At 42.0% G+C, this 18663-nt stretch overlaps 1 pseudogene; it reads right to left on the bottom strand.

Moving 5' to 3' along the window:
- Positions 1 to 515: 515 nt before the first annotated feature.
- FAM136BP (family with sequence similarity 136 member B, pseudogene) lies at positions 516 to 1153 on the bottom strand (annotated as a pseudogene).

Here is an 18663-nt window from a genome sequence, read left to right as displayed (position 1 = left end):
ATGAGTGTGTCATCGCTTCTCATGTGTTTGCATGGTCTCCAGGCTGAAAGATGCAACATGTGATAATTTTCAGAAATACACATCCAAATGTTGATGATCAAAAATGGGGATCCACAAGGAACTTTTTGAAGCTCTTATCCAAACTATCTCCGTCCCAATTGCACATCTTAAAATCAACTTGTATGCCCTTGTGTAAATTACACAAAACCAAAAAAAAAAAAAAAAAGACCCAGAAAACTTTTTTCCCTTCTGAGTTAGTGACCTCATGGATTTTGTTTCACAGCTTATGGAAAACGGTGCAGTGACACTTGTGGCAAACAGGATGTTGGCAACAAAGAGAAAATATCTCTCCTCAAACTCCATCAACTCTAGCCTGCCAGCCTGTTGGTACCTGTGTAGTAAGAAGAGTCTGGTATGTTGGAGGGCTCTGGCTTGTTACAGAGGAGATCCTTACTTCCAGGACAAGCACTGGCCACAGGAAGAATAAGCTCTAAAACTCTCCCGTAATATCTCTGACCCAATTTAGCACACTTTTTTCCACTTCCCTTTTCAGGACTGAAACATAAAAGAACCAGTGTCCAGAGGTAAGTGATGTATGCCTTACACTTGTGGCCATCCTTTATTTGTTCATTCATAAACTTTGCTTAAAAGAGTAAAATTCCCAATTCCTTATAAAAAATACATTCTTGCCCTCATTGGCCACTGGCAAAGACTTTTATTTCCCAATGGATAAGACAGCCTCCTTCATCTTCTTGGTCATAGTTGAGATGAGGTGGATGTGGTCATCCACACACTTGGTCACACAACCGTCCAGCTGCTGCTTCACCTGAAGCTCCTTACTCCCAGCATCTATTGAATCTTTGGCTTTGTCATTGCAATGCATGGTGCACCGAGCCAGGTGGTCCTGGAACTTCTCCAACTCACTGGTGACCAAGGCCTGGACTTGAGCCAGAGGCACAGGGCAGCACTCGATGCACTGGTGCACCTGCTGGGTGAATGCCTGGCTGTCCTCACAACAGCTGGCGCTGCACCAGAACATGAGACCCTGTGTCTTCCAGATGTTCTCCCTTTCCAGACTCTTCACCATGGAGTCCACCACCTCCTGCACCCGCAGCTGCTGCAGCTCCACCATGGTGACCCTGTGCTGCCCTGCTCTGCTTAATTTTTCTAGAAATCTAAACTATTATAAAAAAATTAATTCTTGTAAGGCACAGACTCACAGTGGCTCATGCCTGTAATCCCAGCATTTTGGGAGGCTGAGGTGGGTGGATAGCTTGAGCTCAGGAATTCAAATCCAGCTTGGGCAACATAGCAAAACCCCATCTCTACCAAAAATAAAAAAATTAGCCGGGCATGGTGGTGCACACCTGTGCTACCAGCTGTGGGAGGCCAAGGTGGGAGGATCACTGGAGCCCAGGAAGTCAAGCCTGCAGTGAGCCATGATTGTGCCACTTCAGTCCAGCCTGGGCAACAGAGATCCTGTCATGAATAATAATAATAGTAATAATAATAATAGAGTATTAATTTTAAAAAGGATTAAAAATCCATTGGCCATATGTATGTGGATCTATTCCTCTCACTCTACTCTCTCTACTGTTTATCTTGCATCTATTCCTTTGCCAATATCATACTGTGTTTGTTAATTAAAGTACCTTTAGAGTAAATTTGAAAATTGTGCAGGGTAAATCCAATCTATTCTTCTTTTTCAAAATTGTTCTAACTATTCTAGCTTCTTTGCTTTTCTGTATAAATTTTTTGAATCAACCTGTCTATGTCTCCCAAAAATTCCCTGGGATTTTGACTGCAAATGTATTAAGTGTATATATAAATTTGGGAAGATTGTCATCTTTTTAATATTGATTTTTCTAATTCATGAACATGGTGTCTTTCTCCATTTATTTAGACCTTCTTTGGTGTCTTTTATCAGCTATTTTTAGTTTTCAGCATAGAGAGCATGTACATGTTTTGTGAGATTATTTTATTTGAGGATCTACTGTGAATTTTATTGTTTTAATTTTGGGTTCCAATTTTACATTACTGGTATATAAAAAGACAATTTACCTTTACACATTGACCTTGTATCTTGCTATATCATCTTATTAGTTCTAGAAGGTTTTTTTCTTTTCTTTTCTTTTCTTTTTTTTTTTTTTTTTTTGAGACTGAGTTTTGCTCTTGTTGCGCAGGCTGGAGTGCAGTGGTGCAGTCTTGGCTCACTGCAACCTCCGCCTTCTGGGTTCAAGCTATTCTCTTGCCTCAGCCTCCTGAGTAGCTGGGGTTACTGGCGCCCTCCACCACGCCGGGCTAATTTTTGTATTTTTGGTAGAGATGGGGTTTCACCATGTTGGCCAGGCTGGTCTCGAACTCCTGACCTCAGGTGATCCACCCACCTAGGCCTCCCAAAATGCTGGGATTACAGGTGTGAGCCACCGTGCCTAGCCTTGTTTTGTTTTTTCTTTTGTATATTCCTTGAAATTTTCTACATATACAACCATATAATCTGCAAATAGGGATAGTTTTATTGCCTACTTTCCAATTTGTGTGCCTTTTTGTAAATTTTCCTTTTCATTGCACTGACTAGGTGAGAATGGACATCCTGGCCTATTCTTAATTTTATGAGAATAGCATAATGATAGCTGTAGATATTTAGTTGTCTATTGTCAAATTAAAAACATTTTTTTTCGGCCCAACATGGTGGTTCTCACCTGTAATCCCAGCACTTTGGGAGGTTGAGGCGGGTGGATCACCTGAGGTCAGGAGTTCAAGACCAGCCGGCCAAAATGGTGAAACCCCTTCTCTACAGAGCAAGACTCTGTCTCAAAAAAAAAAAAAAAAAAAAAGACTTTTTTTTCTATTCCAAGCTTGCTAAGAGGTTCCTTTTCCCCCATGAATGGACAACATTAAGTTTGGTCAAGTGCTTTTTCTGCATTAATTAATAGGATCATGTGGGTTTTTTTCTAGTCTATGGTGGATTACATTGGTTGATATCCAAATATTGAACCTTACTTGCATTCCCGGAATAAACATTATTATGTCTTGCTGTGCTATTCTTTGTATACATTGCTAGTATAATAAACATTATGTCATGCTGTACTACTCTTTTTTTTTTTGAAAGAGCCTCACTCTTGTTACTCTTGTTGCCCAGGCTGGAGTGGGGTGGTGCGATCTCAGCCCACTGCAACCTCTGCCTCCCGGGCTCAAGCGATTCTCCTGCCTCAGCCTTCTGAGTAGCTGGAATTACAGGCATGCGCCACCACGTCTGGCTAATTTTTGTATTTTTAATAGAGACGGGGTTTCGCCATGTTGGCCAGGCTAGTTTTGAACTCCTGGCCTTAAGTGATCCACCCTCCTCAGCCTCCCAAGGTGCCGAGATTACCAGCATGAGCCACTGTGTCTGGCCTATACTATTCTTTTCATACATTGCTCATATAATAAATACCATTATGCCATGCTGTACTATTCTGTTTATACATTGCTGATTTGCAAATGTTTTGTTGAGGATTTCTTTGTATTCAAAAACACATAATGATATAGGTACAGTGGTCTATAATTTTCTTTTTTGTATTTGTTTTTGTTATAATAGTAATAAAAGCCTCATAAAATGAGTTGGAAAGTGTCCCTTTTCTATTTTCTGGAAGAGATTGTATAGGATTGATGTTTTCTTCTCATTTAAATAGTTGGTAGAATTCATCAGTAAAATCATATGGGCCTGGAGATTTCTTTTTAGAAGGCTTTTAACTATACATTTGATTTCTTCAATAGTCATAGGATTATTTTATTATGTCTATTTCATCTTGGGCGTGTTTTAGCAGTTTGTAGTTTTCTAGGAATTGGTTCATCTCGTCTAAAGTGTATGTGCATAGAGATACTCACGGTATTTGTTGCGGGGAGCAACAACTATCTAGGACAGTGGTGTGGGGTGTATAAGAATTTACCAAGACAGGCCAGGCGCAGTGGTTCACGCCTGTAATCCCGGCACTTTGGGAGGCCGAGGCGGGCAGATAACCTGAGGTCGGGAGTTCAAGACCAGCCTGACCAACATGAAGAAACCCCATCTCTACTAAAAATACAAAATTAGCCAGGCGTGGTGACGCACGCCTATAATCTCAGCTACTCGGGAGGCTGAGGCAGGAGAATCACTTGAACGCAGGAGGCAGAGGTTGCAGTGAGCCGAGATTGCACCATTGCACTCCAGCCTGGGCAACAACAGCAAAACTCCATCTCACAAAAAAATAATAATAATTTACCAAGAGAGTTGTTGATAAAGAAAGGCAGATTTATTAGAGAAAGTAGGAAAATACATTGCCAGAGAGACAATGGACAAGTCAGCAGAAGCTGACTGCAAAGAAACAAAGACTTGTGGAGATTTTGTAGGGCAGTGCTTATGCTGAAGAGGGCTTTGTGTAGTACTGATAATACCAAGATTGCAGTGAGTTAACTTGCAGGTGTTCTGTGATAGCTAGGTGCAGGAAGACTGAATTATTTGCACAGGAGGGCTATGTATCCCAGACCATGAGAAAGGCAGACTTGTAGCTTATCTGCTTTCTCTTTTTGCTTTCCCTTGGTCCTGCAAGCTTGACTCCCTTTCCCTAGTTAGGGCTCCACATTTCCCCACTAACAGAGCAACAATAACAAATCTTTGGTATGTGGACAAAGATCTCATCTTCCAACTGCTTCCTGCTGACCAGGGGCACCGAACCGGCCCTACCTAATCCTGTTACTCTGTCAGGAAATTACAAAGGCCTAAATCCTTGGCTTGGGAGTTAATTGGGCAGAGTCATTGTGTAACCATGGGGTTGGGGGCAGCATTTGTAGCCTAAAATTTTGTCCTGCTGTATCCAAAGGAGAGTCATGGAGTTCTTTTAGTGGCTGATACCTTCACTGCAGTGACATTTTAGTTTGAAATGGTTGTGTTCACAAAATTTGAAATTGTTGTGTTAGAAGACACAAAACAAGATATTGCATTAATAATACGTAATGCGAATAAGCTAATATAAGCATTATTATAGGTGACAGAAGTGGGGCCTGAGAGATAAGATTTCTAAATGTTAATTCAATAAGAGAAAATCAAGGAAAAGTTTGTAGATGTACTAGTGAGGAGTTAGTTTACTTTTGACCTTTATTTCTACATATTCCATTCCAGTTGCTGAACTATTTATAGGCATGAAAGAATTACTACACATTTTGCTGGCATTAACTTTATTGTTTCCCCACCACAGAAAAAACCTGTGGAGGTAAACAGTGAACTTGTCTCCCATTCCTGGTGTGTTTGGTTATAATTGAGGGTGTAATTGCAATGGGCTCGAATTAAAGCCCCTAGGACAAGGCCAGACCCCTTGGAGTTTGTGATGTAGAGGTGTGCCTTACAAGCCTCTGCATATGATGAAGACAAACAAATTTTTAATGAGGCATTTTTATGGAAACAGAAAAAAAAAAAAACAAAGATTAACATTGGGCACAATTTATCCAGATGTTAAAGCATTTTTAGTTATAGAGGAGGAAGGCAGTGGCAATCTGACCCTTTTCTTTCTTTGCTTGTATTTTAAAGAATGGACTTTAGTTTGCAGGACCTTAGGAAAGAGGTAATAGCAACTCCATTGAGTTTATTTTTTTCTTTTCTTTTTTTTTTTTTTTGAGACGGAGTCTTGCTCTGTCACCCAGGCTGGAGTGCAGTGGTGCGATCTCGGCTCACTGCAAGCTCTGCCTCCCGGGTTCACGCCATTCTTCTGCCTCAGCCTCCTGAGTAGCTGTGACTACAAGCGCCCGCCACTGCGCCCGGCTAATTTTTTTTGTATTTTTAGTAGAGACGGGGTTTCACCGTGGTCTCGATCTCCTGACCTCGTGATCCACCCGCCTCGGCCTCCCAAAGTGCTGGGATTACAGGCGTGAGCCACCGCGCCCGGGCGAACTCCATTGAGTTTAAATTAGAAAAATAAAAGGAAAAAAATGTTGAATGCATTGGGAACTTATAGCCCAGAAAGAATTCAGGATTTAGTTAAAATTGTGGAAAATAATAAAAAACTTTAAAGCAGTGAACAAGACTAGAATTTGATGACAGATGTACTACAGCTTTTCTGAAACATAATTTTTCTTTCCAGTTTACTAAGAACAAATTATAATAGAACAAATCTATTGGTAAAATAAGTTTTAGCCTTATTAAACTTGGCTTGAGTATTTGCATAAAGTTAGCAAGAATAATTATTTTGCATATAGACTCTTCTACTTTTTAAATTTGGTTTTGCTGAAACTTTATTCCATAGAGAATCTCAGATTTGAATTTAATGCCTTAAGGCCAGTTATGGGTTTGTGCCATTAAATACCTGTAAGAGTTGGGTAAATTCTTTTCCTCTTGAGGTCCCAAGATAACTTGGGGCTCCTGGGCCTGTTAGAAAGTGACATTCTTTAGTTATCACAGGTTAGGAACCCTGCACAGGGACTGTGTAGATAAGGTATGAGGCCAGCTTTCCCAAGGAACTTTTATTGGCTTTATAAGTTAACTTTGATTCCGCCCCCCCAAAAAAGCATGCCATTCCAGTTAAAGCTTGGTAAAATAACCAGTGTCTCCAATTGTGTCCTGTTACAAAAGAAAACAGATTTTTTTTCCTTTTTTTTTTTTTTGAGACAGGGTCTCCTTTGTCACCCAGGCTGGAGTGCAATGGCACAATATCAACTCACTGCAGCCTCGACCACCCAGGTTGAAGCAATCTTCCTGCCCCAGCCCCCCAAGTAGCTGGGACTACAGGCATGTGCCACCATACCGAGTTAATTTTTTGTGTTTTTTATAGAGACAGGATTTTGCCACATTGCCCAGACTGGTCTCAAACACCTAAGCTCAAACAATCCACCTGCCTGAGTGCTGGGATTACAGGCGTGAGCCATGGCACACAGCCAGAAAACAGAAAATAGATTTTCACACAGCCAGAAAATTGGCCATGGCACACAGCCAGAAAATAGATTTTGAATGAATATAAGCAAATAACTATAGTATCCGTGATGGCATGAGCCATGGCACACAGCCAGAAAATGGGCCAAGACACACAGCCAGAAAATAGATTTTGAATGAATATATGCAAATAACTATAGTACCATAAATTAAGTATATTTGCAAATAGCTTTTACATTCTGGAGAAATCAGGTAGAGAGTAAGATATGCTTTAAATTTTGGTTACAAGATTATACTTTAGCCAATTGTTAAAGGCTGTAAATAGCTTAAAAGAGAAAAGTTTTTATGGACTTTGAAAAGCAAAAGAGTTAACAATGTTTTAAACAGAAAGCTACAAAGAGATTATTTTAGTTTTCCATTAGTTTAGTTTATGTAATTAACTTCTGTTCTGCTCGATATTTATGAACACATTAGCTTTTAATGAGAGTCTGGGAAGTTTTTTCTTTATTCTAATGTTACAATTTCCAAAGTTATTAGAAACCTGCACTCGAGAGCACCTGTTAGAGGTTGGAATTGAACAATGAGAACACATGGACACAAGAAGGGGAACATCACACTCTGGGGACTGTTGTGGGGTGGGGGGAGGGGGGAGGGATGGCATTAGGAGATATACCTAATGCTAAATGACGAGTTAATGGTGCAGCACACCAACATGGCACATGTATACATATATAACAAACCTGCACGTTGTGCACATGTACCCTAAAACTTAAAGTATAATAATAATAATAATAAAGAGCACCTGTTAGAGTTCTACAGGTGATTATAAAACCACCTTGATCCAAGGCAGATAGAAAAAAGAGGACAATAAAGAGCTTTAGAAAACTTTATTTAACTCTATAAGGCAGGTTAACCATTTGAGCTCTGAATTTTTCTTGTTGCAACTTGCCCATAAGTTTAAAATGTACATGAAAACAGGCCATAATATGCAAGCAGCTGGAGTGTTAAAGAGAACAACAAAATCAAAGATTAGGATGTTAGAAATTGTCTTTCCCTTTTAAGGCTGGATCTTTGGATTGAACAGATAAAGAGAAAAGGAAAAGAAAGAGTGGAGAGGCAAGGGTTCAGCTTTACAGGAGGGCTTGTGAGCCTCCCAGCTACTGCATGGTGTGGAGCTAGCACTCTTTTCCACTTTATCTCCCATCACAGAAAGCTTTAGCACTTCAGACCCACAGAATGTGGAACAAATGTTTCCCACCTCCACAAGTTACTAGTTAAGTTGAGCTGTTTTCAGCTGGAGCAGAGAGCCCCTTTAGATTAAGGCCACTGGGGGTTGAATTTTTGTTCTGGGGCTCCTTCAGCTTTCAGGGCAATCCTGTTTCCAGTGGCTAAGCTTGTGGCAGAGTGGATAAGCTGTGTACAGCTTTTCCCCATTTATTTTATTGGGTAAGTTGCCTTTTAGTGGCCTGGGCTTTTGCACAGATGGCAGTTATTTGGAGGAGTGTCCTTAGGGAAACCTGGAGAAGCTGGGGGCTTGTAAAGCAGCCAACCATTGGACCTGCCTCTTGTCCCTGCATTTTGTTTTTTTCTTTTCCTTAGCCCTGTTTTCCTTAATTTGCTTTCGATTATAAAGACTGAGGAGGTTAATCTGAGGATTTCCTTCATAGGGGCCATGCTGTGTTACAAAAGAAAATTAGATATTTCTTTTTTTGAGAGTCTGAGGGTTAAATTTGTCTTATTGCTTTAGGATGCAGCCTATCAGTGAGTCTGAAGGAATAGACGGGGTTTGTTCCATGGCGGAACTGGAAAGCACACCCCTCGGGGGCAGTGCCAGTCAGGGTCACGAACCACACTTCTGCTTGGGGCATCCTGCCAAGATGAATGCCGAGATGTTTGCCAAGTTCCACATATGTCTGCTGAGGGACTTGGGGTGCACTGTATAAAGGGGCATCCCACCTATTAGTAAAGATCATCCAGGGGGCCCTACGGGTGGACAGCCAGTCCAGGTTCTCACTCACACTGGGTGATCAACCATGTTTGGAGTTTGAGATTGTATTTTGGGTATTGTATGAGGAAGGAAGGGTACAAGAAGATCTCCACGGGTGCCAGCCCAGGAAAGGGAACGGGGAGGGGAAGACTCACTATTCTGAGGCTGTCTGAAATTACCTAATTTGGCAACATCTGGAACAGGACGGCTGGGTGACTCCCTAGAATTTGGACTGAGACAGAGGGTCTGAGCCACCCGAAACGTGTGTGAATTTGCCCTGAATGGGCTTCCATGTCAATTGCAGCACACGTAGGGACTACAATCAGAAAAGAGAGGCGAGCCTTTTCCCCTTCCGGGCAGGGCAGCTGACCCCATTCACTCTTTGGCCTTCAGGCAATGCTGGACAGTGGCCCTTGCCAGTTACCCTCAATTACCAAAGAACTATTAAGAAACGGCAGCCGACAGACGAAAAGAGAAAAGGACTTAGGTCCCTCACCTGACCTGGGCAGTGGCGGTCAGACGTTTCCACACAAGCACCTTTCAGTCCCACGGGAGTATAGCCCCAGCCGGAGACCTGCAACTGTCTCTGTGCTTAGACGCTGTCCACCGAGGTTCCCGAGTTGGGAAAGAGAAAGAGAGAGGCAAGAGAATTCCCCATGAGGAGAGTGTTCCCCTGTACGGAGAGATCCCAGAAGGACCCAGAAATGTCATGGGTGAGTGGTGACTATCTGGGCCAGTGGTGTGGGAGTGTAAGAATTTACCAAGACAGTTGTAGGTAAAGAATGGCAGATTTATTAGATAAAGTAGGAAAATACTTTGCCAGGGAGACAATGGGCAAGTCAGTGGAGGCTGACTACAAAGAAACAAAGGCTTGTGGAGATTGTATAGGGTAGTGTTTATGCCGAAGAGGGCTTTGTGCAGTACTGATAAAGCCAAGACTGCACGGAGCTAACTTGCAGGTGTCTAGCTGGGTGCAGGATTGTGAGTTATTTGTGCGGAAGGGCGATGCGTTCTGGACCATGAAGAAAGGCAGACTTGTAACTTACCTGCTTTCTCTTTTTGCTTTCCCTTGGACCTGCCAGCCTGACTCCCTTTCTCTAATTAGGACTCCACAGTATTCTTTTGTTAGCTTATTAGATTTTGAATGTCTGCAGGTCTGTAGTGATCTCCCACCTTCAATTTCTAATGTCGGTAATTTGTGTCTTCGTTTTTGCTTGATCAATCTTTACAGAGATTTATCAGTTTCATGGACCTTTTCAAAGAATCAGCTTTTGTTTTCATTTCATTTTCCCTACTGTTTGCTATTTTCAATTGTATGGATTTCTACTCCTGTTTATGATTTCCTTCCTTCTGCTCGTGTTGGGTACGTTTCACTCTTTTTTTATTTCTTAAGGTGTAGGCTGGTATTATTGATTCAAGACCCCCTTTTCTAATGTAAGCATTTTAATGCTGTGAATTTCCCTCTAAGGACTACTTTAGTTGCATCTTACATATTTTCATATGTTGTATTTTCATTTTCACTCAGTTAAAAATACTTCTAATCTCTCTGAAGACTTCTTTGACCCATGGGTCACTTATAAGTATGTTTAATTTCCAAGTGTTTGGTGTTTTTTCTATTGTCTTCCTTTTATTGATTTATAGTTTAATTCTATTATGGTAATAACATATTTTGTATGATTCCAATTTTTCCAAATTTGTTAAGCTGCAGGGTATGATCTATCTTGGTGAATGTTCCAGGTGTGCTTGAAAAGAATGTGTTTTCTGTCATTGTTGGATGGAGCGTAATATACATGTTCATTGGATCTAGTTGATTAATGATTGTGTTAGCCTGTTTTGCATTGTTATAAAGGAATACCTGAGGCTGGGTAATTTATAAAGAAAAGATGTTTATGTGGCTCATGGTTCTGCAGGCTGTACAGGCACAACACCAGCATCTGCTTGGCTTCTGGGGAGGCCTCAGGAAGCTTCTAATCATGGCATAAGGCAAGACGAGCCAGCTTATCACATGGTGAGAGAGGGAGAGAGAGAGATAGAAGGGAGGAGGTGTCAGGCTCTTTTAAACAATCAGCTGTCATGTGAACTGGATAATAGATAAGCTGTTTCAACTAGATAATAGAGTGAGAACTCACTCATCACCAAGGGAACGGCACCAAGCCATGCATGAGGGATCTGCCCCCACGTCCCAAACACCTCCCACTAGGCCTGTCTCCAACATTGGAGGTCACGTTTTAACATGAGATTCGTAGGGGACACACATCCCAACCATACCAGTGATGGAATGTCATCTCCTTGATGATTTTCCATCTCTAGTTCTCTGTATTGCTGAGATAAATGGTTTCTAATGAGAAATCTGCAGCCATTTGAATTGTTGTTCCCCTATGGGTAATATATATATTTTTTCTTTGCCTGCTTTCAAGAGTTTTTCTTTATCCTTATTTTCATGTGTTTTGCTATGATATATCTGGATGTGTATTTCTGTCAGTTTATGTTGTTTGGAGTTTGAGATTGTATTTTGGTTATTGTATTTTTCAGTTGTAAAATTTCCATTTGCTTCTTTTTGTTTTTTTATTTTCGAGACAGTATAACTGTGACACTCAGGCTGGAGCGCAGTGACGTGATCCCAGCTCACTGCAGCCTTGTACTTCTGGGCTCAAGCAATCCTCCTGCTTCAGCCTCCTAAGTAGCTATGAATACAAGCACGTGCCACCACACCCACCTAATTTTTTTTTTATTTTTCGTAGAGATGGGTTCTCACTATGTTACCTAGGCTGGTCTCGAACTCCTGGTCTCAAGTGATCCTCCCACCTTGGTCTCCCAAAGTGCTAGGATTAGATGCGTGAGCTATCGTGCCTGGCCTGTTTCTTTTTTATATCTTCGATTTCTTTACTGAGACTTTCTCCTTTCTCCTGGTTTCTAGAATATTTGTAATGGATCATTGGAGGGTATTTTTGGTTTTGTTTTTGTTTTTTCTGTTTTTTTTTTTTTTAATGATGGAATTTCATTGTCTCATAGATCTGGCCAGAAGTCTGAAGTCAAGATGTCGACAAGACTGGTTCCCTTTGGAGACTGTGAGGGTAGATCTGTTCCATACCTCTCTCCTGGTTCCTAGTGGGCGTAGGTAATCATCGGTGCCCTTGGCTTGCAGCAGCCTCACTATAGTCTCTGCCTCCAGCCTCACATGGCCTTCCCCTCGGAGGCTTCTCTGGGTCTCAAATCTCTCTCTGCTTTCTCTTATAACAACACAGCTACTGGGTTTAGGGTCCACCCTAGATTCAGGATTGTCTCATCTTGAGATCCTTAACTTACTTATGCCTGCAAAGACCTTGTTTCCAAATACGATCACATTCTCAGGTACCAAAGGTTAAGTCTTGCACATGCCTTTTGAGGGGGATACAATTCATCCCACTACAGGGAATAATTTACATATGATAAAATTCAACAATTTTAAGTGGCCAGGCATGGTGGCTCTCCCCTGTAATCCCAGCACTTTGAGAGGCCAAGGCAGAAGGATCGCTTGAGCCCAGGAGTTTTAAGACCAGCCTGAGCAACACAGAGAGACCAGATCCCACTTCCACAAAAAATAAAAAATAATATTTGCCAGGCGTGATGGTGCATGCCTGTAGTCCCAGCTGTTCAGAGAAATCTCTCACCCTATTTCCACCATGTGAGATACAACGAGCAGTTGGCAGCATGTAGTCTGGAAGAGGGCCCTCACCAGGACCGGACTGTGTTGGCACCCTGATCTTGGACTTTCACCATCCAGAACTGTAAGAAATTAATTTCTGTTGTTGATAAGCCACCAGTCTATGGTATTTTGTTATAGCAGCTAGAACTGACTAGGACACTCTATTAAGAAATCTATACTTGACATTCGGAAAATATTGAGAAAGGCAAATACGACCAATGCAAAATTTGGAGACAAATGAAGTTGTTTCTTTCTTTTTTTTAAACTAGAGACTGGGTCTCACTGTGTTGCCCAGGTGGGTTTTGAACTCCTGGGCTAAAGCAATCCTCCTGCCTTGGCCTCCCAAAGTGCTACGATTAGAAGTGTGTGCCACCACACCTGGCCAAGGTTGTTATATTCTAGTAATGATGAAAATGCATCTCAAGCGCATAAGCTTGGGAGGTACCTCCTGAGTAGTGACTGAGGGCATTCATTTGTCTGCACTTGAACTATGGGTGTATGTTTATATTTTGGAAATGTTAAGGAGTACCATTAGTTCCTTTCTCTAAACCCCTATTCCTGGCCCTTGTTATGCCGTTCAATATGTGGTCATAGTGGGACAGTTTCTTAAGAAGAAAGAAAGGGAATCCTTAAAGAAGAGACTAAGACATTAATTAATCCAGTAACTCACAAGCGATGTCTTTCCTTGTGGCCCTTGGCTCAAAGTCCATGGCATGTAAATCAGACACAGTGACTGTGCAGCCCTGCCTGCTCAGTTCACCCACACCCATGTTCTTCAAGGATGCACGTAGATGATGACCACTTTCTTACCTAAGTCACGAGCAGTGAAAGAACCTCATGGGGAAAAAATTCCTCTTAGTCATAATTCAAGGAAGAAGAAAACCATTAGCAAATGCATCACTGTAGTCAAAGCTGAAAAGTAAGACTTTTAGTACATACTCTTAAAATGGTGATCATTTTACACTATTTTAAGGGATAACTTATAAGGTTTACTTTCGTCTAATTTTACAATACACAGTCTTGGAAAATAAGATGGAATAAATCTATGCCCTCTCCAAATGAAATAACTAAACTTTATGAAAAGTCTGATATAATGTGGCTATTCTAGGTGAGAGGTTTTAGCCTTGTCCTTCTGAGAATAATAATAGTTCATGCTGCATGTTGAATTCACCAGGGCACTGACTTTTGCTCTTAGCCATGGTCCTACCCTGACAAATATCAATCTGATCATAAGAATGTTTAGGTTTTCTTCTCCTCCAAGCACAAGGGAATTTGATACCTAATACAAAGCAGAAAGAATGGCCAAAGATCCTGGGAGCCTGAGACCCATCCTCTTTGGGTGGTGATACAGGTAATGGGGAGAAATCTGGCAGTGGCAATGTCTCACGGCTTCGATTATGTGGGCACCTCACCCACCCCTAGTGTGGCGCATTCTCATTTCAGAAATCCCTATAAGACTTCTCGTCTTTCTGGAAGACAAATGGGCAAATAGCTTCTGTGCCAGAGAGAGATGCATGAAAGGCAAAACGCTGAAGTGTGAGCCAGGGAAACTGTGATTATAATGATACAGCCTGGATTTGGAACCGTCTGTTCAGGCCCTTCAAAAGAAAAAATATTGTACATAATGGTAAAATCACTGGTTTCAGTTCATCCTACCAAGAATAGGAGTTGAGAATTAAGCAATGTTATTGTTAAAGTTTTTAATCCTGATCCCCAAAGCCCATGTTTCATGACTTCTAAAAGTAGCTTAATTTTTTCTCCTGAGAATTTAATTTATGGCTCCAATCTGAATATGGCAAAAAGGAGAAGCCCCTGATAGATCGGCCAGCAACCACCTCTCTAGGAGCCAGCGTCAGTGGGGCGGGTCTGTGAGGTTGTCCCAGGGCCCTGCTGCCACCTGCAGCCTGTGCAGCTCAAGGGCATATTCGTGACAGCCAGCCCGACATCAAGTGCACCTGGCATCCTCTGCTGCACAGGAGTGGGAAATCCTGGGAGGTCGAGGCTGCAGTGAGCCATGATCGTGCCACTGCACTCCAGCCTGGGCGAGAGTGAAACCCTGCCTCAAAACAAAAACAAAATCCAGTTCATCTCATCGGTCCCTAAATGCCCTTAATAGCCGCCCTTCCACCCTTAATAGCACAAGAATGCTGAGTGTTTTCTTTCAAACCTTGAGAGGTGAGATAATAGCAAAGTCTGATTTATCCTCTAGCATGGGGGCTTTGACCCTGCCATTCTGGGGTCACTGTTGAGTTTACATCCTGCACAGGCTCATGGACATGTGTCCACTAGGGTGGACATGCCCTTGAGTGTTCAGGGCTCACACTCCCAAGGAGACCTCCGTGTGGACTCTGAAGGTGCCATTGACTCAGCTATTGTCCCCAAAGCAACATGCCCTGCCTCGGTGGTAGGCCTCAAGAAGTTTTGGTGTTGGCGGGGGAACAAGTGGTGTTTTGTTTTGAGACAGGTTCTTGTTCTATCACCCAGGCTGGAGTGCAGTAGTGTGATCATGGCTCACAGCAGCCTCAACCTTCTGGGCTCAAGTGATCCTCCCACCTCAGCCTCTCGAGTAGCTGGGACCACAGGCATGTACTACTATGCTCAGCTAACTTTAAAAAAAATACTTTGTAGAGATAGGGTCTCACTATGGTGCCCAGGCTAGTTTCCAACTCCTGGGCTCAAGCAATTCCCCTACCTCAGCCTCCCAAAGTGGTAGGATTACAAGTGTGAGCCACTGTGCCTGGCCAAGAGGATTTTTAACACAATATGCATCCAGATTTATTTTATATTACTCTTTCTTATCACAAACTATTTCACATGTATAAAAGTAAACTGTATAGAAATTGACTTATACATGACAGTGAAATGAATACTTGAGTTCTCACCATTTAGCTGAAGACACAGATCATTAAAAATACCTTCAAACACCTGTGTGCCCCCTCCCATCACATTACTATCCTGAATATTTAATTATGCTTTTCCACATGAATTTGGCAGGTGATTTTTTATTTGGTATGTTTTTATACTTGGACTGAGTGATATCTATAACCTGTATTTTTCACTCAACTTTATAATTATGAAATATACACATCTTGATGTGTGGACCTGTAGTTAATTATTTGCTAATTGGTTAGTATAGTGAGATGTGTAAATGCTCAATTTTACAGTGAATTTTTGAACGATGTACTAATGGACACTACCCACCAGCAGAGTATGAATTCAACTGTTGACCCACAGTTTCACTAACACCTGGTATTGTCTACATTGCTGGGTGCAGTGATTTTTTTATACCTATGAGATCAATTTTGTTCAAAAATTTTTTTAGAGGGAGTTTCGCTCTTGTTGCCCAGGCTGGAGTGCAATGGCGCGATCTCGGCTCACTGAAACCTCTGCCTCCCAGGTTCAAACAATTCTCCTGCCTCAGTCTCCTGAGTAGCTGGGATTACAGGCATGCACCACCACGCCAGGCTAATTTTGTATTTTCAGTAGAGATGGGGTTTCTCCATGTTGGTCAGGCTGGTCTCGAACTCCCAACCTCAGGTGATCCGCCCACCTTAGCCTCCCAAAGTGATGGGATTACAGGCGTAAGCCACGCGCCTGGCCAATATTTATTATTTTAATGGCATCTGTTTGACTACCACTTACTAAGAGATGTGTCCTGACGTCTCCCACTCTGATAGTGGATTTTTCCATTTCTTTTCATAATTCAGTGTTTGCTTTATATACTTCGAAGCTGTTTATTAGACACATACCAAGTTTGGAATTGGTGTAACTTCATATTGAATTGATGGGTTCATCATTACACAGAGACCTTCTTTATTCCTAATCATGATTTTTGCTCTAATGTCTATTTTTGCTTGATATTCATACAACGATCCTACCTGCTTTTGAGTATTTGCATGGTAAATCTTTTTCCGTCCTTTTACCCTTAACATTTTGTGTTGATGGCTTAGATATATCTCCTGTAAACTGAAGGTAGCTAAATTTAAGCTTTTTATCTAGCTAGACTCTTTTAACTGACATTTTTTTCTATTTACCTTTTTTATGATTACAGGTATATTAGGATTTTTTTTCCACCATTGTATTTTGCACCTCAATTTGTCCTTCTTTTACTGTTGACTTTTTTCCTCCACTCTTATCTTCTTTTGGATGATAGCGTTTTTTCTTATTCCATTTTCCCCCTCTACTAATTTGACCTCAATTTCTATTATTTTAATACTTATCCTAGAAACTTGAATATACATATATCACTTAAAAATCTAAATCATTAGCTTTATCCCCCTCCCTGAAAAAAGAACTGTTTTTATTTGGATTATACCCTCTATATATTATTTTTGCCCAGGATTATAATTTTATCTGCTTTTTAACCCTATAAATTAGGCTATATTGTTATTTATTTACTTTTGAGACATGGTCTCATTCTGTCACCCAGGCTGGAGTACAGTGCAATCATAGCTCACCGCAGCCTTTAACTCCTGGGCTCAAGGGATCCTCCCACCTCACCCTTCCGAGTAGATGGGACTACAGGCGAGCACTGTCACACACAGCTAATTATTTTTATTTTTTGTAGAGATGAGGTCTTGCTGTGTTGCCCACACTGGTCTCAAACTTCTGTTCTCAAGCCATCCTCCCACTTTGGCTTTCCAAAATGCTGGGATCACAGGTGTAAGCCACCGTGCCTGGCCGCTAATCTATGTTTAATTTACTCAGTCTTTCATGTATTTTAATTCTAAACGTTCTTTTGTGTTTCAAATCTGGTCACTTTTGAATGTCTTTCTTTAAACATTTTATACATGATTATTTTGTGTTACATATCCCGTAATGCCAATATTTGAAGACTGTGGGTGATTAAATCTATTGCTTGTTGTTTTTATTTCCAATCATGTTTTGTTTCCTCATGTGTTTGATAATTCTGGAGAGCATATATTACACTCATCTTAATCAATGGGAATCTTAATAGCCATGAGATCATGGTTTTCTCCAGAGAGAATTTATGTTTACTTAAATTACTTACTATACTTAAGGTTTTTATCACTTGGGATCATTTTGTATTTTGCTGACTGCTGGTTGTGGATACAATAAATTCCAAATCCAAACTCTATGGAACAGGAGTTTATTTTTCTACCGAGAAGGAAAAAGGCTGCCTGCCAGTCTCCCTGTAAGGGTGAACGTACTTTTCTACCCACTTTGGAGCTCCTCCACAAAGTCTTGATTCAGCTGCCCACATGGTGTGTCCCGAATTGGTGGGTTCTGAATTGGTGGGTTCTTGGTCTGATTTCAAAAACCCAGCTGCAGACCCTTAGGGTGGGTGTGACAGTTAAGTTTTTTTTTTGGTGGGTTTGCAGTCTCGCTGGCTGAGGCAGAAAGTGAAAGCTGCAGGCCTTTGTGACGACTGTTACAACTCATAAACGCAGTGTAGACCAGAAAAGAGTACAACAGCAAAAGCTATTACAATAAGCAAAAAAACAAAACCGTCACAGCATGGAAACAAATCCGACTTCGTTGCTATTGCTGGCTAGGGCAGCCTGCTTTTATACTCTTATCTGGCCCCACCCACATCCTGCTGATTGGTAGAGCCAAGTGGTCTGTTTTGACAGGGTGCTGATTGGTGCGTTTACAATCCCTGAGCTAGACATAAAGGTTCTCCAAGGCCCCACCAGAATAGCTAGATACAGAGTGTGGATTGGTGCATTCACAAACCCTGAGCTAGACACAGGGTGCTGATTGGTGTGTTTACAAACTTTGAGGTAGATACAGAGTGCCAATTGGTGTGTTTACAATCCCTGAGCTAGACATAAAGGTTCTCCACGTCCCCACCACACTCAGGAGCCCAGCTGGCTTCACCCAGGTGGAGCTGCCTGCCAGTCCCGCGCCCTGTGCCTGCACTTCTCAGCCCTTGGGTGGTTGATGGGACTGGGCGCCTGGAGCAGGAGGCGGCGCTCTTGGGGGAGGCTTGGGCTGCCCAGTAGCTCACGGAGAGTGGGGGAGGCTCAGGCATGGCGGGCTGCAGGTCCCGAGCCCTGCCCCGCGGGAAGGCAGCTAAAGCCCGGCGAGAAATCGAGCGCAGCGCCCGTGGGCTGGCACTGCTGGGGGACCCAGTACATCCTCCGCAGC

Source organism: Homo sapiens, chromosome 6, assembly GCF_000001405.40.
Source record: "Homo sapiens chromosome 6, GRCh38.p14 Primary Assembly".
NCBI classification, from domain to species: Eukaryota; Metazoa; Chordata; class Mammalia; order Primates; family Hominidae; genus Homo; species Homo sapiens.
This window is presented reverse-complemented; position numbering and strand designations above follow the sequence as displayed.